At 48.1% G+C, this 27,714-nt stretch overlaps 1 annotated feature.

Moving 5' to 3' along the window:
* Positions 19,196–20,142: an enhancer, noted in NCBI's record as "NANOG-H3K4me1 hESC enhancer chr10:80136659-80137605 (GRCh37/hg19 assembly coordinates)". NCBI's record gives its function as "activates a minimal SCP1, AML or CMV promoter by ChIP-STARR-seq in naive H9 embryonic stem cells {active_cell/tissue: H9 hESC(naive)}" and the evidence as "EXISTENCE:reporter gene assay evidence [ECO:0000049][PMID:30033119]".

The raw sequence follows: 27,714 nt of genomic DNA, 5'->3' as shown, positions 1-27,714 counted from the left end.
TTAGCGGTTAGTTTGTTGTCTGTCTTCCCCATGAGAACACAAGCTCCACAGGGGTAGAAACTTTGCCGCACCCACTGCAGTGCCTCTCACTCCTAAAAGAATGTCTGGCCCACAGGGGGCCCTCGACAAATAAATCAATAAACAAACTGTTGTAATAAAATGACGTCTCAGAATTCAAAGATGCTAGGATGCTCCTAGTGTGCATAAGGCAGATCTTATTTTGAAGTTTTTGTCTATCTAAACAAGTCATTAAAAATCAGTGTATCAGCACCATTCATGAGCAATCACATGCTATGCCACAAAAGTGATATCATATAGTGAACAATCTGAAAATGAAACTAAGAAAACAATTTCACTTACAATAGTGTCAAAAGAAATACTTTGGAATACATTTAACAAAAGAAGTGCAAGATTTATATTCTAAAAACTACAAAACATTGTTGAAGGCAATTAAAGATCTAAATACATGGAAAAATATAATATGTTCATGGATGAGAAGACTTAATACTGTTAAGATGCAAATGCTCTCCAAATTGATCTACAGATTCAATGCAATTCCAATCAAAAGCTCAGCTGGCTTCTTTGCAGAAATGGACAAGCTGATCCTAAAATTCACGTAGAAATTCAAGGAACCTGGAATAGAAAAAAATATGTATTGAAAAAGAACAAAGTTGGAGGACTCACACTTCCTGATTTTTAAACTTACTTCCAAGTTACAGTAATAAAGACAGTGTGGTACCAGCATAGGATAAACATGTAGGCTAATTTAACTGGCTTGAGAATCCAGAAATTAATCCTCACATCTAAAGTCAATTCATCTTCAGCAAGGATGTCAAAACAATTCAATGGAGAAATAATAATTTTTTCAACAAAATGGTGCTGGGACAACATGCAGAAGGATGAAATTGGATCCCTACATCAAACCATATGGAAAAAATTAACTAAAAGTGAATCAAAACTCCAAACAGAAGAGCTAAAACTATTGACCTCTTAGAAGAAAACATGAGGGCAAATTGTTATGATCTTGGATTGGACAATGGTTTCTCAGATGTGTCCCCAAATGAACAAGCAACAAAAGTAAACATAGAAAAATTGGATTTCATAAAATTTTTAAACTTTTGTCCTTTAAAGGACACCATGAAGACTGTGAAAAAACAATTCACAAAATAGGAGGAAATTTTTGCTAACTCTATGTCTGATAAAGGACTTGTATATAGCATATATAAAGAAGTTTTATGACTCAGTAATAAAATGACAACCCAATTAAAAGTGGGCAAAGGATCTGAATAGATATTTCTTCAAAAAAGACTTATAAATTGCCAACAAGCACATAAGCACATGACAAGATGCTCAATATCATTATTGAGGGAAATACAAATCAAAACCACAGTGAGATACCACTTTACACCAACTAGGATGACTAGAATCAAAAAGTCAGATAATAGTAAGGGTAGGACAGCATGCAGAAAAATTAGAACCCTAAATACACTGCTTTTAGGAATGGAAAATAGTACCGCCACTTTGGAAGAGTCTGACTGTTCTTCAAATGATTAAACATAGAAGTAACACATGACCCAGCAATTCCACTCCTATTGGGTTGGTGCAAAAGTAATTGTCGCTTTTGGCATCAAAAGTAATGGCAAAAACCGCAATAACTTTTGCACCAGTCTGATATATACTCAAGACATGAAAATCTATGTCCTTACAAAAACTTGTATATATGTTTATAGCAACATCATTCATAATAACCAAAAGTTGGAAACAACCTGAAGGTCTATCATGGACAAATGGATAAACAGAATGTGATATGTCCCTACAATTGCATATTATTCAGCCATAAAAAGGAATGAAGTACTGATTCGTGCTACCTCATGGGTGAACCTTGAAAACATTATGTTAAGTGAAAGAATTCAGTCACAAAAGACCACATATTATATTATTCCATTCATATGAAATGTCCAGAATATGAAACTCTGTAGAGACAGAATATAGAGTAGTGGTTGCTTAGGGCTAGGAGAGATAGGGGAGATAAGGGGGTGATGGCTAAATGATACAGGATTTCTTTTCAGGCAATAAAAATGTTCTGAAATTGATTGTGGTGATGGGCGCACAACTCTGAATACACTAAAAACCATTGAACTGTCACTTAAAATGGGTGAATTATATGGTGTGTGATCTATATCTTAATAGTACTGTTATTTAAAAGAAAAGGGAAGAAATACCATGCCAGGTAACATAGGTAATCTACTCAATACTTTGCCCTTCTAGAATTGAACCAGGAACAACCCCATAGACACAAATCCCACAGCCTACCCGATTTGCAGGGTTGGGAGAGACCCAGCCAAGTGAAAAAATGAGGACCGTGATTAGCTATACATTTTCTGAAAACTTGGAGAAAGGCCCTGTAAAGCATGGGGCCTGGGCAGAAGCTGGGCTTGTCCAGGTCTAAGAACAGGAACATCTAGAGAGTTCACCTAGACCTAGATGGAAAATCTCATGTGGCAAGTCTGATCAATTGCAGGGCCCACGTGTAGCCCATGTCAAGAAGCACTCTGAATGAGACAATGTCCAAACTCCACCAGAAAGTGTCTGTTCCATCGATAATGTCTGCTAGAGATAGGGAGTGCTGGTATCTGAGCCGCACATTTGACAGGTGTGTGTCAGTTCACCCTCTCCTGGCAGAGGAAAAACTAAGTCACTGGGAGTAGCACAGTGGCCAGGGCCCTAGAGCTCAGGGTAGATGAAGTCCAGTCTTGGCCTGGGCTCTGGTCTCAGCTCTCTGGACGTGTTTACCAATCCAGCCTCACATCTCATCACACCCCTACTCTTGCCAATGCTGTCGCTGTGTGCATTACAGCCTGGACAGCATAGAGCTGGGGCCTGAACCCAGGCAGGCAGTCTGGTTCAAAAATCTGTTCTCTTAACCACCACACTGTCTCTCAAGACAATGCTGAGGCTCTGACTATCTAATCTGTGTCAGACTCTTCTACAAACCTTTCCTTATTCAAGCCCAGAAGTACCCTGGGAGAGAAATATTGTTATCCCCATTTTAGAGATAACAACACTGAGTTCCAAGTATGTCGCCCAGATCACACTATGGCAGAACCAAAGATTCTAAATCAAATCTGTCCAACCTCAATGCCCATGTCATCCCACAGTCCCAAGAAAAGAGCAACTTTTCCTTCTCTCTCTTTAGTCCAGCACACAGACATACAGACACACCCACACAAACACACGCACACACGCACGCACACACACACACATACACAATCTGAAGGAAAGAAAACTTGAAATGCAAACCCTGAAGTCCCTAAAGTTCACCATTATCCTTGATCCTTGCACATTCTTCATCCTCAGTGAGTTCCTTATTCTGTATCTACCATCGGCTATTGCCAGATTCCTTGTCTTTCCTTCACAGCTGACAATCCAGAAAAAAAATCACTTATGCCATTGTCTCTGCTTCTTCACTGCCCTCTCATTCCTCAGCCCAGTGCAACTTGGCTCTGTCCCTGCCTCTCTGCTGAGCCCCAATGCAAACCCAACTCTTTCCATCCTGGACCTTTCCATCCAAGACTTCTCCATGACAGGCAACCTGCCAACCCATTCTCCTTGAAACTCACTCTTTCCTTGATTCCTTTAGCAAATACTTTGTGTGCTCCATGTCACATCTTTTTGGTCCTGCTGACATCAGCACAGCTGAGAAAGACAGCTATATACCTGCTGCCAACATTTCACTTCAAGTGTGCTGATATGACTCTCTCCCTTTCTGCCTCAGGGTGACCCCTTGGCTCAAACACAAGCATGGCCAAAACATGGAAGAGTTAACACCCCCAGGGGCAACTCCCAACCAATGGAAGATGGGAGCCAGTGAGTCAACTTCCCATCCTTGGGAGGGAGAGTTCCAAGGCATCTTCTCCACAGTTCCTTAGAGGGTCCTACTGGGCTTGTGATCAGTTGCCCACAGTAATTATGCAGTCTTTATTCCCCTGTTCTCACTCTCTCTCTCTCTCCCTGCTCCCTCACTCCAGCTTTCACGATCACCTGACAAATAAGCTGCCTGCACCTGTCTTTGTGCAGGCTCTAGGCTCTACTCTGGGGTACCTATCATTGTCTCATTGTCTTCCTTCACCTTCTGACCTATTCATTGCCATCTCTTTATGGACTGCTCCTTTAAGGGTGAACCCCTTCTCTGTTGCTGCTTCCTGGCTCCTCTGCTAAGCCCTGCCCTGTGCCCTTCCTCTCACTTGCTTGGGTCACATAAGTCCCTGCCACATGGCCTTGCCCGTCCATGAGGGACTTCCTGCCCACAGCACCATGGCCTCTGTCCCTTAATCATCAGGTGAGCACCTCCCCACCTTGCAACAAGCAAACCACGCATCACCCCTCTACTGAGCCTTTCCCAATGCTTCCCTAGGACCAACCGCCCCCACCTGAGCAGCTGCAACTTGCTGAGGGGGATTCCATACTGTGTCCAGTGACAGCCCTTCCAATAGGCTCTTTGCTTCCTTTTACTGTAATGTAATCTCCCTGAGAGAAAAGGCTGTGGAATTTTTACTTCATATCCCCAGAAGCCAGCCCTATCCTGGCGCATGATCCATGCTCAATAAATGTTTGTGGATAAAGGAAAAAGCATTCACGCTACTTTTATCAGACTCTGAGCAAACTTCTCTGATCCTCCCTCCTCACAAGTCCCTCCTCCAGTAAGATTTGGGTCCTTAAGTACATGTTTCCCCTGCATAGGGTTGGCACATCCATTAGTTTCAGCAGGGAGATGGGAACTCAGCCACCTCTTGCAAGCACAGTCATTCCTGGGTATCCACTAAGGATTGGTTCCAGGACCCATCATGGATACCAAAATCCAGGGATGCTCAAGTCCCTGGTTTAAAATGGGATAGTATTTGCATATAACCTATGCACATCCTTCCTTATACTTTGTCATCTCTAATTACTTATACTATAATAGCTAATACAATGTCTGCACATCACTTCATTCGTGTGGATTCAGCGTAGGACTCAGAGCACAGCAAATTCAAGTTTTGCTTTTGGAACTTTGTGGATTTTTTTTTTCCTGAGTATTTTGGATCCACAGTTCATTAAGTCCATAGATGCAGACCCCGTGGATACAAAGGGGCAATGCTACTTCAATCCCAATGTTGTGAGGCTTTAAACTTGTAAACACCCCCAGGTCTCTTTAAAGAGCAGGAAGCAGGCATGGAGCCGACAATATCTGCCTTCGATTCCTCTCCTGGGTCAGAACCTGAGAAGTGGGCTTCCCACATATGCACCTTCTTGTGAGATTTTCCTGACAAGGCAACAGGAAAAGGGAAAGACCAACAGGCCCACCTGATGGCATCTGTGGCTTGTGATGCCGGGAAGGACCCAGAAATGGCCACAGGTGAGCGAGAGTGAAACGGACGTCCATCCAGGTCAAGCAGGAAAAATGCCAACTCAGAGAGCATTGCCCACCACCTCCTGCAGGCCAGGCCTATGCTAGATGCCAGGAGAACAAAAGGAGATCCCTGTCCTCAAGTGGAACTTAGTCTAGTGGGAAAACACACCTAACCTCAGCCCCTGACTTCACCAAAGTTCCAATCGAGAATCATAATAGTAAGTAAGAAGATTGGCTAACATTTTATGGAGGGCTTACTCAATATGCCAGTGTTTTCTGAACATTTTGAAAACATTCAATTATTTGCCCCCTGTAATAACCCTGGGGTGGCATGCTGGAGCCAGCTTGTACCGGCTCACAAGAGCCAATTGTTAAATTTTCAAGAATTTTACAAGCTGGGTGATAAATATGACTATTATTTTAAAATTAAATTACATAAGTTAAAAATAAATTATACTAAAAACAAAAGTAAGAAATCCTCAAAACTCATCACTTCCGAATTATCTCACTGCACTTTATTGTTCTCTATGCTGCCAGGGCCGTGTGCTTCTGTTGTATTTCTGCAGTGGAAATGCCATATCATGGTGGCTACTAAGCCTACTAAGCCTCTCTTCCAATTCCATGTTTAGTGACGTCACTATGAAAATTGACAAAGGCTTGACTTATTTTTTATTGATTTTTCTAGACTTAAAAAAGTGATGGAGAAAATATTAATTTTCCAAATGAAACTTAAAAGTGTGCCTGTGTCGGTCTATAGCTGTTAGTTTGTGAGTAGCCCCCCCGACAAAATATTTTTTTCTGTATTCAAAATCTATTATCCAATTCAGCAAAGTCACTCATGCTTTTGACAAGTGAGTGTCAAGTCTGTACCTACATCTTCATTGTTTCACGTTCACCTCAATCATTGAGGTACAGAAAAATACCAATCAATTTTCAGGTTGGAACTATACTCCAAGACCAGTTGCTAAACACTGACTGGCCTCGGAAGTAAGTGCTATCTGTAAGCCCCATTTTGCAAAGGAGAAACTGGTTAGGAACGGCCAGACCAGGATTCCTACCAGGGAGCCCAGCACCACACCCAAAGTTCTTAACACATGCAGGGGAATAGGAGACCCTGGTCACCCCCAGTTCTCCCTGGCAGTCCTGGGAAAGCCCTCAGGGAGACCTGGCTTCTGGTACATTCTGTCAGATTCCCTCACCCCAGATAAGAGGAGAATAGCCCTGACCCTGAGAGAGGAGTACAGGACAGACATGGGGATGGGATGGGCAGCACTGAGCCTGGGCTGAGATGGTGCTTCCCAGAACAAAGCCACGGGCCTGGATTTGGGAAGGCAGGTTAGATCCAGAGGATGCAAAGCAGAAGGTGGGACGTGGGGCCGCCTGAAACTCCCAGGGCAGAGGCCAACTCAATGGGTCACTCTTACAGGGACTGCAGCCTCAGGCAAAAGCCAGGAAGTCCCTGTGATGCCGCCCAGGCTTGGAAACTTGCCCACCTCTTTCCAGACAGGTCATTTCAGGTTCCCGGGTGCACCCTCACCAAGGAGCACCTTCCAAGGAGGCCTAAGGGCAGGCGAAGATCAAGAGATTCAGTGGCATTTCATGAGTAAGAAGAGTTGGCCTGGATGGCTCCTTCTCATGGTGACAATGGAGCCAAACCCCATTGTCATCCGAAGTCTTTTCCTCTGGCTTGGGTCCCTTTCCAGGCTCTTCTTCAAGTAGTGGACATTCCAGCCACACAAAACTTCCCACTGTCCCCCAGATAAACAGGGCCCTCTCCTACCTCTGACTCTGTGCCGGGGTTGACTTCTCTGGTGGGGGAAGTTAGGGAAGGCTTCATGGAAGAGGTGATGTCTATGTCTGATATGCCCAAATGAGCGAAGGTGTAGAGGAAAGGTATTGAAAATAGTCTGTAGTTCCCTGTTCCATGTGCACAGCCTTTGTTACATAAACAGCCCTCCTGTAATATTATAAGTTCTGTAACAGAGGACACACCGTCTCTGTGGTGCCCAGTAGGTGCTCCAGTAAAAGTGCAGGCTGCATAGCCTTGGGCAGGTTGCCCGGCTTTGAGACCTGCAGTCATGCTAGCTGTGAGCCACATGCAATTGCTGATACAGAACTATGTTTGACCTACAAAACTAGCAATTTCATATGTTCCAACCTAATAGCCTCTCTGTGACTCTGTAAATGGGGTTAATAGCACTACCACTCTCACAGGATTGTTGGGGAGATTAAATGAATTAACACCTGTGTGAACACCTGGGCTGCTGCCTGGAACACGACAAATAGGTGGTAACAACAGCTATCACTTACACAGCACCTACTATGTTCCAGGCACTGTGCGAATCGTGCTGCCTTGTCAACTCATGGGCTCCTCTAGCCACTCTCTGCAGCTAGTTCTATTCTTAGGCTCACTTCTCAGAGGAGGAAGCTGAGCCACAGAGACATGGAAAACTCACCTAAGTTTGCACAGCAGGTAGGTGGGGAGCCAGGATCTGAAGCCAGCAGTCTGTGCTGTTATGCTATAGTTCAGCCTCTCTGATCGGGTCAAGCTGAGCTATTATGACTCGAGGATGACTCCAGTGAATGTGTAGGTGTTAAGACAACTAGTCTTAACATAGCATTTGAGTTTTTTATGCTTACACAGATGCGGGTGGGCTGGGCAGTCAAGGTCTGGGAGAGGACCAGAGGAAGGCACCAACAGCCTGAAGCACGGGAACAGGGGGGCAGGTAGGAAGGAAGCGGGGGCTATGGAGGCTGCTGCCTCTGGGGGACCTGCAGTCCAGCACTTGGTGGCTAGCTCGGGGCCCCCCCACTGGTGAGGTGGGCAAGGCCAAGAGTTGGAAAGATGAATGGGACCCTGGACGCCCGTGGGCACTTCTGCATCTGTCACCCTGTCTGATGGCCATGACCTTCTGAGAATGATTAATTCTTCTCTGCTTCCACCTTCCAAATCTCCCACAGCTCCACATGTGGCCAGCCCTAACTCAGAACCCCAAAGAGAAGGGGACGTGGGGAAATGTAGACCCAAGCCTTGTCTAAACCTGCAGAACCCAGTCTACTTCAGATGGTAATCCTGGGATGGTACCGCCACAAGAACCCAAGGAGGGAGGGATTGGGCTTGCTCAGCATTTTTCTCATTCCCCTTCTCCTGTCCACGGAAGTCCACTCTCCTAGGGAGATCCCATTTCCCAGCATGGCATTCAAGCCCTGCCCTTGGGCATCTGCCTCTCAGCCCCTTCTCCACTTGGCTCCTATTATCTCCCAAACACAGAAGTCCTGACACTAACCCTTAACATGGCCTGTTCCCTCAGCCAGCAATGCCCTTCCGTGCATCTTCCCCTACTCCAATGTGGACTCTCTTCATTGCTACCCATCCTCCCTGCCTCCTGTCTGGCCTCTGTTTTGTTCTGGTATCCCCCACCTGCTATTCCCCACACAACCCAGTGGCTCAAGGGCAGTTGATTTCATCCTTCCCAGGGGTGGGCCCTATTATTCTAAGTCAATCAACACAGGGAACTCCCATGTGACTTATTTGTCCAGGGGCAGGTTCTTTTCCAAAATTGACCAATCCAATTATAATTTACGCTTGGAAGAGTGATTCCCCTCTCTCCCACTAGACAAGGACTAGGACACACATTGCCCCCAATGTTGCTGACAGCCATTGTTTGACTATAGAATGCAATCAACACCGTGGATGACAGAGTAGAGAGAGAAAGAACCTGAGTCCCAGGTAGCATCTGAGAGCTGCTGAATCAGCCAGCCCTGAAGTCTACCCTACCTCTGTTTGAGATTTTCTTTTCCTATCACTGTAATTCATAACATATCCTGGCAGATACACTCCTACCAGGTATACTCTTGACCAGCTATACTCCTACTCATTCCCTCTGAGCCCAGTGCAAATGCCACCCCTCTGTGAGTCCCTCCCTCAGGTGCCCACCCATAGTGCCCTGAACCTCCATCTATTCCAGCACTTTGGTCCATTCTTCATCCCGATCCCTGAGGTGACATCTCCCCTGTGAGTTGCTGAGCTCTTAAACAGCAAACCATCTCACGGAGGCTAGAGCAAGTGTATCTGTTTAATCTAATTCATTCCACATTCATTCAGCAAACATTTACTGAGTGCCTTTAAGACAGTGAATGCCAAGACAGGATGGGTTTTGCATACACATCTGTGCAGGGAGTAGGGGTGCATTCATGCAGGAGACAGAGAGACAGCAGGGAAGAGCAGGACACCACCAGACGTGGTGTGAGTGGTAGGCAGGACTTGGCTTAGTGCAGGAATGGGATTGACCTCGGGCTTTGGGGCTTTGACCCTCTTTCTATATAACTCTCCTTTCAGGGAGGCAGTGCAGGTGAACAGGGGACAGGGAGGATTGGAAGGCTCTGGAAGGAAGCCAGAATTGCTAGGACATGTCTAAGACAGAGGCTGCATCCTCCTCCACTGCTTTGGAAGAGGAGTGAGCTCAGCGGAGCTGAGCATGCATTAATTTATGCATTCATTCATTCATTCATTCAGCTCACATTATGATTATGAAGTACCTCCTGTGTATCAGGCACCACATTTGGCATTCAGGATTAATCAGTGAACACAGAGTAAATGGGCCTTCTTCTGGCTCAAGGGTCAGACATCCTCTCTGAGATCTGGAGATATTCATGTTCCTCCTTCAAGGTGAAGACATAACATGTTAGAATCTGCTTTGGGGGTCATGGGTCCAACCCCAGGCTAGGTGACATCTGGGTGTCAGGGATGTCCCTTTATATCCTTGAGAGTCTATGATCAGCCTGTACAAATTTGTCCCCTGCAGATGGATCCTGTCTGCACCCCAAATCTCTGAACAGAACCCGCTTCTCCACTTCTCCGTGCTCCCCTGCCCAGTGCCCTTGCAGCTGTGCACAGTGCCATGTATGCAGGACCAGCCCTGTAAATATCTCATGCGCATATGAATGGCAGATGCTTCCACACGGGCTATGTGTCAGTCAGAACTCATGTTGCCAGTGACAGAAATCCAGCTCGAACTAGATGAGGCCAAAAGGGGAATGTATTCACTCACAGAATCCAAAAGGAGGCTCAATGATCCAACTGAGGAAAGGCAGAAAGCAGCTGGGCCTCAGAGAAACAGGAACCAGAATTAGAACAGAACCTCCTCCCTCCATCTCTCATCTCTGATCCTCTCTGCAGGGGCTTCATTCCCTCTCACCTGCAGGCCAGCTCCTCAGCATGGCATGCAACACAGAGGCCGGGTGCTCCTGGCTTTGACACCCTACAGCCTGCATTGTGGGGAGAGTCTGGAGACTCCCTTTCAGCTCCGTCTTGAAAAATTTCAGGCCAAAGATTTGCCTGGGATAGGCCCAGCTTGGATGCAATGCTCAGCCCTGAACCAACTATCCCTGGCCAGATGGGAAAAAGCATTGAAATTGGCTCAACTTTGGTCACATATCCACGTCCAGGACAATCAAGTGAGGCTAGAGAAGTAGGGTCCTCTAAAAACATGGCAGAATCTGCAGGGGTCTAAGCGGGGGAGCAAGAACAGAAACTTCTAGAGGAAGGAGGATGTTTAGGAGAAGGGGGATATCCCAGTTAAAGTGGGCAGGTACTCGTTCATGACATGGTCGTCTATTATAGCCCAGATGATGAATCAGAGAAAAGATTTCTAGGTCACTTGCAAAATTCACCCTCCTTTCAGCATCGCCATCCATTCAGTATCTGATAACTGAATTATCTGGCTATATGAAAAACTGCCCTGAAGCTAGAGTCAAGAAAATTAAGTTTAAAACTGAATTCTGCCACTTACTAGCATAGGCAAGTCACGTGACCTATCTACCTTGACTTTCTCATCTGTTAAATGGGCGCAGTACCTGCTCCTCAAAGGTTTACATGGGCTGTGCAAGTGAACATCACCAGCACCATGTTGGCAGGTGCTTCATCAGAGTTGGTGAAAGACCTTAATCCAAACATCAGCTCCAGGTCAGCCAAGCGGATCACAAAGCTCCTACTGCACAGTTTCGTTCCTCACAGCCATGTGTGTCAGCCCAACAAGGATATCTAGAAAATGTCTGCTCATTTCATCTGGCACACGCTCCTCTAGGTTTCCCTTCTCCTCTATAGGTTTCTCTTCTCCTTGATCCCACCACTAGACTCTGGCAGATGCAGCCAAGTTTTTAGAGGACCCCACTTCTGGGGATGATTGCTTGGTGCATGGGAATGGAAGGTAAGCATGATCTGGCTTCTCCTACACAATGGGCCAATGCGTGCACCTGGAGAGGTTCTTTTCCCTGCAGTGGCCAGGCTGCTCCAAACAGGAGCACTTCCTCCTGCTCATGTTCTTCTACGCTTGGCCAGAAATGCCCTTCCATGCATCTTCCCCCATGTCAAAATAGTCCCATGTAGCTCTCCTGTCCAGCAACAACAAGGGCTCCCACAGCTACCAACTCTACCTGGATCTCAAGCCCTCTGAAGTCGGGGACAAGACTTGGCCCTCAGCTCTTTCTCCCACAGCTCCTCAACACCTCACTTCCTGACATATACCCTCCTCTCCCCTCCACCTACCCCATCCTGCCCATTCTTCGGGACCTTGATCAGCCCTCTACCTCTCAGGGAAGCTGACCTCTATACACTCTCACTGACTTCTTTTCCCCTCCCCTCTTGCAGCCTTAACTCTGTACACAGAGTGATGCTGGCTATATTCCTTACTGGAGTTTTCATGCATGGTCACCAGGAAACCTGCTCTCCTGAAACTTAAAATCAAGTCGGGAAGATAGTAGGATCTGACCTCAGTATAGCCTCTTTGAGAGGCTAGATAGCATAAATACAGGTTAGCAGGCAAAATTTGGGAAGATAAGAAAATACTGTTTGGAAAACAGGTGCCAGATACAGAGATTTCCCTTTAGGAATGGCAGATAAACGGCACACGTGCTGCTAAAGCCTCCTGTATTACCCATGGCAGACATCACTAATTGATTACAGCACTCTTTCCAGTGAACCTGGACCCAGCCTCAGAAACTACAGCCTAGCACTCCAAGCAGGCATGACCAATCAGTTGGAGTTGGGAAATTAAGTAAAATCCATTTGCCAATTGTGGTATAATACAAAATACATATTTGGTTTTTGAGCTTCAAAAACCCATAGAATTTCTTGAGTGATAGGAGTGTCTTTTGTTATTCATAATGGGCACCTTTTGGTTATACCTAACTTTATGAGGTGATTCAAGGTGGGCCCTTAGATAGTTTCAAGAGAGGGGCTGGCCACACCAGATACACCAAGCATGTGATTAGAGAGCTAGAACTTTCACCACCCCCACCAACCCCTGGGGAGAGAGGGTGCAGCTGGAAATTGAATTCAATCTCATGGCCAATGATTTCATCAATCACGCCTACTAATGAAACCCCAGATAGAAACTCTGAAACAAGATTTGGGTAACTTCCACACTGCTGGAAGAGTGCCATACCCACATTCCACTGGGAGAGAGCATGGAAGCTCTGCAACACTCTGTTTGTAAAATGTATATACATAAAATAGAAGAGAATGCAATATTTTCCTAAGGCTTGAAAATAAAACAGTTGAACTTCAGGGGTATCTGGGGGGTATAATGTGGCTTTGGAGAACATTTCCTGATGCACTGCTCAGGATCATCAAACTTTTTCTGTAAAGGGCAAGATAGTCAGTATCTTAGGCTTCACGGGCCCCTCACCCCCAAGACCTGCCTGGTGAATCTGTTCATTTGTATCATTTATAATAAAACAACAGTCATAAGGATAGCACTTTCCTGAGTTCTGTGAGTCATTCTGGCAAATATTCAAGCCTGGATTGGGGATAGGGGAACCTGGGAATTTGTAGTTGGCCAGACAGAAGTGCATATGAAATGGAGGCTGAGCCCTTAACTTGCGGGGTCTGCCTTAGGAAGTTTGTGTCAGAATTGAATGAATTGTAGGATACCTAGTTAGTGTCATATACTGCTCTCAGATGTGTCTACTAAGAAACCTATAAAAACAAAGTAGGGTACCCACATTGACCTAGAGCAGGGACCAGCAACTACAGCCAAACCCAGCACACCACCTGTTTTTCTAAATAAAGTTTTATTGGAACACAGCCACACCCATTCCTTTACATGTTATCTAAGGCTGTTTCTAATTACAAAAGCAGAGTTGAGTGATTGCAGCAGAGACTGTATGGCCTAAACTATTTACTATCTTGCCTTTTACAGAGAAATTTTGAGGGCCCTGTTCAAGAGCACCAGAAGATTTTATCCAAAGCAGCATTATAACCCCCAAATCCCTTTCAAGCTTCATGTTTTATTTTGAAGCCTCAGGTGAATGTTGCATTCTCTTCTGTTTTATGTGTATACATTTCACATAAAAGCAATGTTTAAACTACTTACCACTTGTTAAGTAACAAGTTCTGTTTGCTTAGTGAGTGGAGTCATTCTTCATTTCCCTAAAAGCTTGCAATTTCAGGATGGGAGATAGAGTACTGGTGTGAGGCTGGGACAGAGGGGTGAAGGTTCTTCCAGAAAAAAAATTTAGGAAAAACAAGGAGATTCAAACTCTAGGTTGAAGCACTGATTCAGATATTCATTCTAAGGCTTGCTTTCACCCTATAAAAATGAACAGTCGCTAAGGGCTTCTCAAGCTCTGCCCATCTTGTCTCCAAGGTGATGGTTTCAGCAAGGCATCTGCTGGCGTGTTCAGTGGGTGGCTGGGATCTTGCCACTTATTTGTTCTCAAGGAAAACCATTTGCAAACTGTGTTCTGTGGGGCCCTAGAGTTCCCACAAACTTTGAAGAACTACTGGGGTAGAATGTGGGATCCAAGTGAGTGGGATTCCAAGTCCATGCCAACCTTAACCATGTTATTCCTGGTAGATGTTTTCTATTGCCCATCTCATTTGTTTAAGAAAAGGCATCTGCTGATAAAATAAGATTTGAACATCACAGGTCTAAATAGTTCACACAACTTGGATGCAATGCTCAGCCCTGAACCAACTATCCCTGGCCAGATGGGAAAAAGCATTGAAATTGGCTCAACTTTGGTCACATATCCACGTCCAGGCCAATCAAGTGAGACTAGAGAAGTAGGGTCCTCTAAAAACATGGCAGAATCTGCAGGGGTCTAAGGGAGGGAGCAAGAACAGAAACTTCTAGAGGAAGGAGGATGTTTAGGAGGAGGGGGATATGCCAGTTAAAGTGGGCAGGTACTCGTTCATGACATAGTCATCTATTATAGTCCAGAAGTTGAATCAGAGAAAAGATTTCTAGGTCACTTGCAAAATTCACCCTCCTTTCAGCATCGCCGTCCATTCAGTATCTGATAACTGAATTATCTGGCTATATGAAAAACTGCCCTGAAGCTACAGCCAAGAAAACTAAGTTTAAAACCGAATTCTGCCACTTACTAGCATAGGCGAGTCACGTGACCTATCTACCTTGACTTTCTCATCTCAAACACAGCAAGCTCAAACACAGACAGATATGGGAACAGACAGGTAACATAAGTGAGTCAGTCAGGCAAGGCATGGGATGATAGGGAGTGGTGGGACCTGTGGCAAACTGTCTTAAAAGAGCAGGTGCCCCCTGAGATCTAGCCATACAGAACTACAAATTTAATGTGTCCAAGTCTTCCAATTTCTCAGTAAATCTGGAAATTTAAGTGGCTATTTCCCAATTATTAAGACATGTGCAGGTCAAACAGATTCATACCTACAAACCAGATGCAGCTGGTAGACAGTCTGCAACTGCTGGCTTGGACATCGCCTTTAAGAAAACCAGCCAGGAAGGGCTGCTATTTCTTGAATTCACTTAGTAGGCCAACATGGAGCATCAGGAAAACCCACAAAAAAGACAAGCATCCTATCCTGGCGCTGGCCCTTACTACCTGTGTGAACCTGGATAAGGCCCTGAACCCTTAGCGGGTACCTGCCCAAATATGGTGATCATAGCAAATCCCAGGCAAATGGCAGGGAGGGAAGAGAGCATACTGTGGGTGATGGCACCCCTGGCCCAAGAGGCACCAGGTGGGCACATATGAAAGGTGTTCTCTGCTGGCGACAGGAGGAGTGCCCAGGGTGAATGGTACATGGGGCATGGGTGGATCCCAATCAGCCCTAGGGATGTGGCCGGCCTAGAAAGCTCGAGCCCCCACTACTAAGGGAGATGAAAAATGACCACCTTCCATCTCCGCTTTTCTGTGCACAGATGAGGAGCGAGAGAGGAGCGGGCACCCGGGCCCGTGGCTGTCGAGCGGGATCATTAATAAGATAGATGTTCCTAATGGCTCCAAGAAGGATCATGGAGCTACTCATTATCAGGGGTTGCAATCGCTAATTATTCGTTTCTCTGCAGCTGTCACTCGCCGCGCCCACCCAAAACACCGGTCCCAGCAGCGGTCCTTACTCTCATGGCCAACAGGGGGCCGCGAGCACGCATGGCTGGGCCTCGGGGCTGAGGGCAAAGTCTCCATCCTGCATTAAATACTTATTAAAGTTGATTAGAACTCAATGCACCATAAAATCTCTTTCAAGTCAGTGAAACGCCTTTGGCTACAGATTTTTTTTTTTCCCCAATTCTATCCAAAAGGAACTCCCAAGCACTCAGAGAGTACTGGAAAAATTAGATGACGGTTGTGGCGGGGGAGTGTGGCATTCCGGATTGGGAAGGGGGGAGGTGGATTTGGAATATTTATGGGAGAAGATAGCAATGGCTGGAATGAGGGGCATCAGGAATGAAAAAGGGAGTGTGGATTCAGGCAGGTGGGAAGGCTGCCGGATGCACATATTCTTAGGAACGATATTACCCTGGACCTAAAAATATGAGACATGGCTTTCTTTAAAAGCGATCTAGGTCCTATTTACATTTCAGAGCAAACAGCATATTGTTTTCATCAGGGGGAAATAAGCACTCATGTTTACCTTATGTTTCCTTCAAAATATTTGCATTTCAAAGCCTTCTGAGCTTTAAGTTTCAGAGCTGTTCAAAACGTGGCACCTGGGCTTCTCCCAGATGGGCCATGTTTACAGCAGAAATCCATACCACCCAGCCAGGATGACACCCCAAAAAGGGACAAGGGCCCCTTTCAGGGCCATAATGCATCCCCCGAGGGCACAGCAGCTGGGACCAAAGCTGGTGGCCAAATGGGTGATGGGAGAGCCAGACAGCCCAATTCTCAAAGCTTCTCTGTGGGGTTCTGTGAGTCTTCCTCTTGCCATGTTCTTTCATCCTCTCTGTGGATGAAGGAGGAGACAGTGCTGGTCTGCGCAGAGCCTTTGGGGGCCTGTTGGGAGAAGGAGGAAACAGGCAGCACTGGAGCCCACAGGAGATGTTCCAACCAAGGCAACAACCAAGTGGGCAGGGTAGCAATCCCAGTGCCAGAGGGTCGGACTAAACAACCTCAACTCCCTCTTCCTGTCCCCAACGTTTCATTCATTCTTTCAACAAACAGCTATTGAAGGCCCACTCTGTGCCAGGCTTTGGGCTCATGACTGGGGCCACAATGATGAACTAAACCAATCAGAGCTAACCTTTACTGGATGCTTCCTCTCTGCTAGCCACTGTTCTTGGCTGCACATGGCAGCCATCTAGCAAGCTTTTAAAAATCCCAAAGCCCAAGCCACACCCCAGACCAGTTAGATTCCACTGTCTGTATCTGACAGAAGCCTTGCTATTTTTTACTTTCTCCAGTGCCCAGGACCAACCCACTGCACCCCCCTTTCTAGAGGTTCCCTGTGGCCCTTGGTAGAGAGACAGCTGCTGGTCAACTTGACCAAGAGCACCAAATTCCCAGGTAACCAGCCTGAGAAAGTCCAGGGTAAAGTTCAGGAGCCAGGCACCATTAAGTTTTCAAACTCCCCATATGATTTTAGCCTGCAGCCAATTTTGAGAACTGGCATTCTGTGCTTCACATATATGAACCCGCTTACTCCTCAAACAACCTTCTGAGGTAGGTGAGAATGCTTGCCTCTCCCCTTTAAATGATGAAGTGCAGAAACGTTAACTCAGCCACAAGCAGCATAGCTGGGATTTGAACTCAGGCAGTCAGGCTCCAAAGGATGCACTCTTAAGAGCACCTGGTGCCAGCTGCTGTGCTTAGGGAACTCCTGCTCTAGAGAGAGGCCAATGAACAGACACTACACAGAGGGAAAATGTCAAGGCATCACTGACTTTCCAGCCACCAGCCACTCCCAACCCTGGTCTTTGCCTGTCTCACCCAGAAACTAACTGTCCCTGCCTCCCTTGCAGCTATGGTTCTGGCCAAGAAGATGCAGTGGGAAGCATGCTTGGAGCTTTCGGAGAGAGTTTTCCTCCAAGGTTAAAGGACAGGGGTGTGAGAAGGAACATCTTTCATCTTTTCCAACCTATGCTCATCCTTCTACCTGAGATGTTTCCATGTGAGGATGTGATATTTGCAGCTGCAGAGGCCATCCTGTGACCACGAGAAAAAAGGCTGAAAGAACCATAGACACTGATCAGACTGTCGAACCATTCTGGAACAGGCCCCCTCCAGATGTCTTGTTAAAAGAGAGATCTAAAATGTCTTCCTTACTTTCAGGTATTCAATTACTTGCACCTGCATCAATTAGAATTAGATTTGACTGTGATTAATAGAAAGCCCCAAAATAACAGTAGCTTTTGCAAGATAGAGGCTCATTTCTCTTTCATGTATAAGAAGTCTGAAGATAAGCAGCTCAGAGTGACAGGGGCAGCTTTAAAGTCATCAGAGAACCAAGCATCTTTTGTCTCACTGCCCTGCCATTCTTAGCATGTGACTTCCACTCACATGGCTCAAAGAGGGCTGCCCAGGCTCCAGGCATCACATTTGCTTTCCAGATAGCAGGGAGGAGGAGAGGTGGAAGAAATATCCCCCTCTTCTTTTAAGAACACCTCCCAGAAACTCTTCTGTCTATATCCCATTGACTAGAATTTAGCGACATGACCACATCTGGCGGTAAGGGAGGCTGGGAGCTACATTTGTCCTGGGCAGCCATCAACCTAACCAAAAGGGGGGATTCCATAGATAAGAAAGAAGGATATTTGAGAAAATAAACAGTCTCTTTCATACAATTGAGGCCATCCTAATTAATTCAGAAAGATAATGTCTCTGATGAAGAAGGGATAGGAGTTAGCCAGGACAAAAGAAGGGAGAGCAGTGTCCCAGGAGCAACAGTTTGCACACAGGCCTAGGAGTAAGACAAAGTGCCATATATTTGGAGAACTGAAAGAAATCCTGTGACTAGATGACAAAGCAAGGTGGGTGGGCGATGAGGTGGGAAGGCATTAAGAGAGCAAGATTCACAGGGCCCTTACGTAACACCGCCCTAAGGAACTTGGACTCGGAGACCCACTGGAAGGTGTTTGGCAGGAAAGCAACATGGCCAGGGTTGCATAGAAAGCACATTCTGGTAGCAGGGTGGAGGATGCTTTGGGCTGGAAGATGGTAAGATTGGAGGCAGGGAGACCCAGTGGGAAGCTCCTGGAGGCCACTAGAGAGGGAATGTTGGCCTGGGCAGCACAGAGGCAGATCCCATCTCCACTGGGAGACAGGTGAGAGGTGGTGGAGAGCAGTGTTACTCAGAGAGCTTGTCTGCAATGGCATTCAAAGCTTGCACTAGAACCTGAATCGATGCATTGCTGCCTTCATCAAGAGTGTCTTGTGATACAAATTATGGGCATGCGTGTTTGTGTGCATATATAAGCTGAATTAAATATGTGTTTAATGTTGTATTTGCTTTATGCTCTGATGCAACCTCCTTACTCCTTCGTGCACCACTAACAATTTGTGAACCAGCAACACAGACCTGTGAACCACACTTGGAACATCACTAGTCTCAAGGAAAGAAAACTGAATTCCTCGTGTAAAGCTGCTCCTCTGTATCTGACACAGGCCTTGCTATTCCTTACTCTCTCTAGTGCCCTGAACCAACCCACTGCACCCCTCCAGAGGTTCCCTGTTGCCCTTGGCAGAAGGACAACTGCTGATCAACTTGTCTAAGAGCCAAATTCCCAGATAACCAGCCTGTGAAAGGAGGCTGACCTGAGGGTTCCTCACCACCCACAGGGAGCCCCAGGGGCCTACAAAGCCCTCCATAGCCAAGCTTTTCCAGGAACAATGTGATTGCCTTAGGGAAGGCAGAGGGAGAAAATGGTCCTCAAACTCACTCCCTGGAGAGAGGCCAATGTAAACTGTGGGATTAACTCCTGGGGGGAGTCTTAGTTCTGAGGCCATTCTAATAGGAAAGAATGAAGGGGCCTCAGGCAGTTCTCCTGAAAGCAAGAGCTCCCCTCAGCCCAGCGAAAAGGGCTGGAGACCCTCAGGGGTTCCCCAGCCTCGAGGACCAGGCTACATTGAGCACTCCCACCCCACCTGTGCTGAGACTGTTCGATGCTGGGCTGTCCCCTCTCTCCAAGCTCCTTGGAGGCAGTGGCTGTGCAAGTGTTTCCACGTCTCCACACCCTTCTCATGCCACTGTGGCCAATGAGCACCATGGCTCGTATGTGCCGAGCACTCATCAAACAACTTCACATGTATTAACTCATTTAGTGCTGACCCTCAACACATGCATGTTGCATCAATTCATCAAGTAATCTGAATGCATCAGTGCTTGGAGGTGTTGGCCTGGTCACTCAGCAGCTTGGTCCAACATCCCTCCGGCAAAGGCCAACATGCAGGAGTGGGCTCCCAGGATAGGAGCCTTCTGGTTTGAGCTCAGAAGTACAGGCAGCCAGTTCCCTTAGGGGAAGCTCATCCCTGTGTCCACACAGACTTTCCTGGGATATCTCAGTGGCCAATTTATCAGTCACAGAATCTGAGAGAAAGAGAGCTTCAGACTCTCTAGGTAGAACCACAAGGAGAGCTGGGGTCTGGAGATCTGTGGGAGCATGGGGACAGGCTCTCAGACTCTCAGAGCAGGCTCTGCCAGGGGCATCCAGCCCACCTGCTCAGGGGCAGATGGCAGATCTGAGGTCAAGAAGGGAAAGTAGTGGGTCCAGTGTCACACCAAGTGGGTCCAGTGAGGCTGGCTTTATCCCCAACACACTGCCTGACAGGGACAGAGCAGCTGACATGGTTCTGCTGAACACACGAGATATGTGGAGGCCATGACCTTGAAGAGGACAACAGCTCCTCACTTAGGCCCTTTGCAGCGCTGACCAAGGAGTGGGGCTGGGGAGCTTGCAATCCTTCCTCTAAGCATGTCCCCGAGAAGTCAGGCCAGGGTCCTGGAAGCCAGTGGAGGGACATAGGAGAACCAGGCCAGCTAGCTGACCCCACAGCCAGAGCCAAGGCACCCACCCCCAGACCTGGCCTCTGGGCCCCTCCGCTGTAAGGGACAGCCCACTCTGGGCACCTCCACCCTGGCTAGTGGAGCCCTGCCCTCTGCGCAGCCCTCATCTCCAGCTTCATGTTTTATGTAAAGGGAATTGGGGCTCGGGAGGGGTGGGTAGCAAGTAGCAGACCAGAGAGGCAGGAGGGAGGCAGTGAATAAAATTCTTTGTTTAAGGAAGGCGTGAGCCATGCGTCCGCAAGCCCGGGAGAGACATGTCATTTTGCTGGAAATGCGATTTTCCCTAACAAGTACAGAATTCTACATGACATGTTGAAAAGTGTATCTCTTTGAGAAGCTGCTCTGTATCTCAGAGGCATCGTCAGTACAGAACCGTGTAATGTGGCAGTTGCCATGGCAACGCCTCGTTTTCCATAGACAGGAAAATCAGAGTGGCTAAGTCGATTGAAAGGCCCCAAATAATGTCTCAAGACCAGGCTGAGATCTGGCAAAGGCATTCGCAGAGGCTGAGGTGCTATTTGGGGGTCTAGGGGCCACTTTATATGTGCTTCATAGAGAATACCCAAGATAATGTTCAGTGCCTCCTCCTAATTTGGCTGAGTCAATGGGATCTGTCCAATGCCACACAGAAGGGCAGTGACAGGACCAGGGTGACAAAGCTCCCACTTCATGGACAGGCAATGCCTGTGGCTGAGGTGATGTTGGCCCCTGCTCCCGTCCCTCCAGCGCCCCCTTCTATCACTGTTTCTGCTAAAGAAGTAGTTGTCTCGAAGACAGACATTGTGCTTAGCACCAGACAGTAGCAACCGAGTCAGAAGCAAACATGTTCCCCACATCTACCCCCATATGCACCACGCACTCATGCATGCCCATGGATGCATGTGCTTCCAGTGTGAGCACAGGGACAGACTTACCCAGAGTAGGTGCTCCACCCATGGGTGCAGCTCTAGCATTCATACCCACACCTGGGCCCCCCAGGTACAGAGGCTATAGCCCCATCACCCCAGGGCCTGGCACAGTGTCTGGCAAGGGTGGATGTGCACAGATGTGACACCCTGAATTCAACACACACGTGTGCACACTCACAAGCATGCACACACTGCAGCCAAGGCTCTGCCCCAACCTCCTGCCCCCATATATTTCCAGGCATCAGTATGAAGCAGGGTGGCACTCCTCCCTCAGTACAGTGCCCTGTGGTTTGCAAGGGGTGGGGGCAGGACTCTCAGAGGGAATCAGCCGAATTTGGAACCCAGCAGGAATGAAGCGTCCTTCCACTGTGGGTTCCTGAGTCACCAGGGCTGGATCTGTCCTGCTCCCCTTTCCCACCTGAGGGAGCTCAGGTTCGGGTCTCCCTCCCTTGTCTGTTGGCTGTGCACTCTACCGTCCACCTCCCAGGAGGTGACTGGCAGGAACGAGAAAAGCATTCATCCTGCTCCATCATCTCCAAACATAAGTTAGCATGGGGGACTGGGGAGTTACAGTGAGGGGAGAGGCAAAAGCCCCCATCAACTTCCCAGAGGAAAAATTTTATATAACTGTCAGAGATGTAATAGAACTGTCAGAAGTACAGGAAACCAGCTCCACAGATTACAAAAACACATGTCAGGGACCTATTGGTTTAGTGACAGTGTGAAAATCACAATTTTTCTGTCAAGATAGAAAATAGAAACAGAGAAAAACCAGAAGCACCTCACTGACAGTGGCTAATCCAGCTCACCATCTTCAGGGGACACCCCCAGAAGCAGGTCTGAGTGCTCCAGGCTTCCCTGCCCCAGCCCCGGCACTGAACCATACCAGCCTTCACCTCCCAGGAGAGGCACCTCGCCCCTTGTGTCCCTCTGTCTTAGAAAGTAGAGGCATGGCCCTTCCCGCTGCAAGGTCAGCTGCTCCCCATTGCCCCACGGTCGCTAGCTGCCCTCCAATGACAGGTCCCAGAGATCGGGTCTCACGGTGGTAAAAGAGCCAGCCTCAATCCCAGGCCTCCTTGCCTTTCATTTGAGGTCAGGAGAAAGCCAGTGTGCCCCAACCTTCTGACTCTGGGAGTGCAGCAAGAGGCCAAGGGACAGCGGTCTTGAGCAAAACCACAGTGCTGCAAAAGTTGTCCACACATCTCTCAGCTGTGTAGGGGTTCTGTGGCCCACTCTAGAGAGTCATGGCCCAGCACGGTGGCTCACGCCGGTAATCCCAGCACTTTGGAAGGCTGAGGCAGGAGGATTGCTTGAGGCCAGGAGTCCAAGACCAGCCTGGGAAACATAGCAAGACCCCATCTCTAAAAAAAAAAAAAAAAAAAAAGGATAAAAAATTAGCTGGGCATGGTGGGCATGGTGGGCAGGGTGGTGCATACCTGTAGTCCTTCCCACTCAGGAGGCCGAGGCAGGAGGATAGCTTAGTCCAGGAGGTCAAAGCTGCAGTGAGCTATGATGGCACCCCTGCACTCCAGCCTGGGAGACAGAGCAAAGCCCTGTCCCTAAAAAAAATAAATAAATAAAAATAAATTGTAAATAAATTAAAAATGGAGAGTTGCCTTTTCTCTATACAGCTTCACATCCCAGGCCAGCCAGCCTAACAGCATTTTCTGCGGTTTCAACTGGAGTGTGGGTGGAAGTATCCTCCTGCCAACTGTAGCCGAGGTGACAGGTTTTGATTGTCCCTTGGCACATGAACAGTGTCTAGACACCTCAGAAGATTGGGACACACTTTGCTGTTAGACACACCTGGGTTCCTATCCCAGACCCAAAGTTGATGCGCCAAAGATGGTGCATATCTGAGCCCCTCTCTCCTCCGGCGTTCATGGAGACAAGTGCACTTCCCTTTCTCCATTGGGGGGATTTTATGAGATGGCAAATGTGCATTCAGGTTTCCAGGAAGTGTTGCTCCAGCACCTAACCTCTTCCACAGCCATCAACAGGGCCTATCTTCACAAGTCATGTTGCAGTTTAAAAAGTATTTTGCATCTAGAACTTTGCAGGCACTTTGTTCCCTTGTTGTAAAATGGAAAATCACAATTTCACCCTCACACTTTACCCAGAGGCCAGAATGAACCCCCTTCAGTTCCTGAAGCACTTCCTGCTTGTGTTAGTTTGGGTCCTGCAAGAAGCAGACACCCATATGGGATGCAACGTGCGAGGAATTTATTAGGGAAACGTCCGTGTGCGAGAAAATGGAGAGGGGGTGAGGAAAGGCTGGGAGAGCTGCCGCCAGATCCCAGAGCAGGTCTGACCATGAGTGAAGAAAAGATGCTATGCAGTCTCATGAAGGTTTGGCAAGGCCACATCTAGGGGTCAGGGCACGGCCCTTGTCTCCTGGAACACGCCTGCATACTCAGTCGCTGGCTGGGAGCATAGACACAGCAGTGACATCAGAGCACGGCAGCTGGAGCTCTCATGGGGCTGTGCTCCCACAGTGCAGTCTTCAGGGCACCCCTCACAGGCACTGCAGCATCCCCTCTCATGTGCCATGCTCCTGCCGACAATACTCTTCTCCACTCTTTGCCTGAAGAATCCTGGCTTGTCCAGTGAGTCTAGAAGCAGAGGCTCCTTCCTCCAGGAAGCCCTCTCTGATCTCTGCCCCCTTTTCTGCCATGTGCTGCAACTGTGTGGAGACTCCTCCTTTCCGCCACTACACAGTGTGTCCTGCTGTCACTTACCCACTCCCCAACCCCAGCTGGCCTTGGGCCTGGGACTGAGCCAGAGCTCACGAATATGGACCAATGGTAAAGGTGGATAGATGCCCCCAAGGCTGGCAAGGGTGTCTGGATTTGGGAGTGCTGATTCTAGAACCCCGCGCCTGTCCCATTATGAAGCCCCCCAGCTCATATTATTAGTCATGGGAAGGGCCTGGGCACCAACTGGTCAGAATGGCAGTAGACATGAGCAGATGTCCACCCTGTCGCTGCCTCAGCTGACACCCAGGATACTGGGGCCCATGCACCCCTGTGCCAGGAAATAGGTACTCAGGGTCCCTATGGATGCTGGCCCAGAAAAGACAGATCCAGGAAGCAGAGTTCCACATCAATAAGCAGGGAGACAGAGTCACCAAGCATCCACTGCAAAAGGGACATCTGAGCTCATCTACTTGATAGTCCCCGCTGGTGTGCCCCACTCACTGAGCTGTCAATCGCCTTAACCCTCATGATCACCAGAGGGGGCTTTGGGGCACCCAGGGTCTCCTAAGCTGGTCACTCCTTGTCTGTTGATGCTGTAGGCTTTACAAATTTTATCCTACTGTACGCATGCCATGACCTTATAAAAATCCCAGGAGGCACCAATTCTAGTCTGACCCCATTATGCAGATGAGGAAACTGAGGCCCAAGAAGAGAAAGGATACCTATTCAGAAGCACCAGGAATGAGGAAGTCTGGGATCTCACCCCAGAGAGCAGCTGGATCCACCATCCTAGAACATCTCAGCTCTGCTGCTACCCACCTCAGTACCCCGTCAACTCTAGTTCCATCCGGGCCTCCATCCCCAGAGCAGCTTCCCCTCCTCCCACCAACACTGTGGCCTGGAGATCCCACATCCCTCCTGACATTCTCTGCAAAGAGTGAGCTCATCTCTCCAGCAGCACCTCCACCTTCTCTGGTTTCCCATCATGGAAAGACCTCGTCGGGGAAGGCATCATGCCGGAATAGGATGTTCAGCTAATAAATATGTATGTGGGATTTTTATTACTTAATAGTTGTAAGGTTAATCGTCGTGGTGAACGCCTATATTTAATGTGTCAATGGAGCTGCAAAATGCCAAACTGAATAGCTTTAACACACATTAGTTCTACTTGTGAATCTACAAATAGGAACCTTGTCAGAAAAGTATTCAAACCGAGATCAGTATTGATTGTGGTCCTCGGGAAAGGCACTGGACTGTGACAGTTTAAAATGATAAATGTCTAGAGAATTATTTGCCCGTATTGATAAAAAGAAGCAGATATAAAGCTGACAGTCTCAGAGGAGGCAGCACTGGTGAGTGTGGCCAGCACATCCAGCATCGTTAGGGGCTTGGAGCTAATCTCCCCTTTGATGTGGAGAAGATCCCCAAGGGATCTGGCCCTGCCCTGTGCTGGGACTTGTAGTAATTGCAAAGGAGGGGGCTCTCTGGGCATGCTCAGTCTGCTCCTGGATCCCTGCCCTGGCCAACCCACTGTAATTTTGGAAGGGAGCCTTCTGCAGAGACCCAAGCGCTTTTCATTCCATTGCTCACCTCCTGCACAGCAACTTTCTGAGGCTCACCGAGCAAGACTGAAGTCCTCAACCCAGCCTTAGAACTCTCATCCCAAATGGCACTGTCTCCCTTCCAACCTCACCACCCAAAGCTCACCCCCACAGAGTCTCTGCAGCAACAAGACTGGCAGGTTGCAGCTCCTGTGAACTCTTCCCCAAAGGCTTCACTCACACTCCCTGTCCATCATAGCTGCGCAAAGCCAACGTGTTCTTTAGGACAAAATCAACCCCCACATTCTCTTCAGGTCTCTACTCCAATGCCACCTCCTCTAGAAGCTTCCCCTGGCTTCCCTAGCTGGAAGAGCATCCCCTCTCACTCTCAGTCTCCTTACCCTGCAATGATATCTTCTGAGTCTACATCACCACCTGGAAAAAATGTTTATATGTTGGTTAAGGTTTGCCCATCTCCCCTACCCACAATGTAAGTGCTATAGGAAAGACACTCTATTATATTCATCACCATGAGCAGTGTCTGGCACATGGAAGGTGCTAGAGAAGCCTTTGTTGAGTGAATGAATGAATGAATGAATGAGTCCTTCAGGAAGCCTTCCAAAGAACTCCCAGCTCAGTGATTATCCATTCCACCTTTCTCTTCAAACTCACTCAGGACCTTTCCTGTCTCTCACCACTCACATCCCTGTTCAAAAACCACCCATGGCTCCCTGTGGCCTAAGGACCGGGCTTGAACTCCTAAGCCTGACCTGCAAAACCATACCCCATCTGGGGCCACTCCCAGGCTCCACCTCTTCTCCTCTCTTCTGAATCTCAGGCTAGGTTTCTACTTCCCTCCTGATGCACAGGATCTGGCTACGCTCTCTCTGCATACCACCTCAAGACTGAGGCTTCTGTGGACATCCTGCGTGACCCAAGTGTGGCTTCATATCATGGTTGGCTCCCAGTTATACAGCCAAGGACCTGTCCTATCCTGTCCACATCCTGGGGCCTGGGCAGCACTGCAGAATCCAGTCTGTATCTGAGCTCTCCTTCTTTCATGGGGACCTTAGTCACTAGCCTAGGGGCAGGCGCTCATGTTCACATGTGCTTCTACATGGGAACGTAGTATCCGGGATGGTGCCCAGATACTACTTTAAAATCCCAGCTCAGAGGGCCTGTTCTTTCCTGAGTTTTCTGCTCTCCCTTTCCTGTCCGTTCTCTCTGTGCACCCTTGTTTCACAAGATGCCGGCTACACAGGGGAAAGCAGAAGGCACCCATGAGATGTCCTGGCTTTTGTTTCCAGTGGTGTAAATCTGTTAGAAGATGTGGAGGCTTTGTGGAGAAAGAAAGCAGGAGAGCCAGGGTCTTAGCAAGAAGCAGGGGATCTTGGAAGAAACGTAAATGTGGAAGTATTGCTCCCAAACCAAAAGGAGATTTCCCCAAGCTGGAGGGAGGAGAGTAGTGAAAGCTATTCCTCGAGAGAGGGACCCTGCCTTCTCTGCTCCTGCTGAGCAAGAGCCCACAGCAAAGGCTCCTGGGGAGACCTCTGGGGGCCAGGGCTGGGGACAGCCACAGAAAGGAGCCTTGTGCCTTAGTCAGGGCTGGAAGGCAGCAGAGAGCAGGCTGTGCCCTGAAGGGGCCTTACAGGCAGGGAGAGTGAGGGCCCAGGGGCCTGAGGGGTGACACCCAGAGGACCCTCTCTCTGACTCCTGGGATGAGCCATGCCCAGAGAAGGAATCTGAGAGGCAGGAGGACAACCCCAGAGGAGCCGAGGTGATGGGTTTCCACCAGCCCCACAGAATGGATCGTGGAAGCAGCTGTGGGACAAGTGATTTGTGTCACCAGCTGAGTGAGAGGACTAAGATTCATGACCTCAGCAGCAGTACTGCTGCCTACCCTGCCAGTCTA

This window comes from Homo sapiens, chromosome 10, assembly GCF_000001405.40.
Source record: "Homo sapiens chromosome 10, GRCh38.p14 Primary Assembly".
NCBI classification, from domain to species: domain Eukaryota; kingdom Metazoa; phylum Chordata; class Mammalia; order Primates; family Hominidae; genus Homo; species Homo sapiens.
Note: the sequence above shows the minus strand (reverse complement) of the source record. Positions and strands in the feature narration are given on the sequence as shown.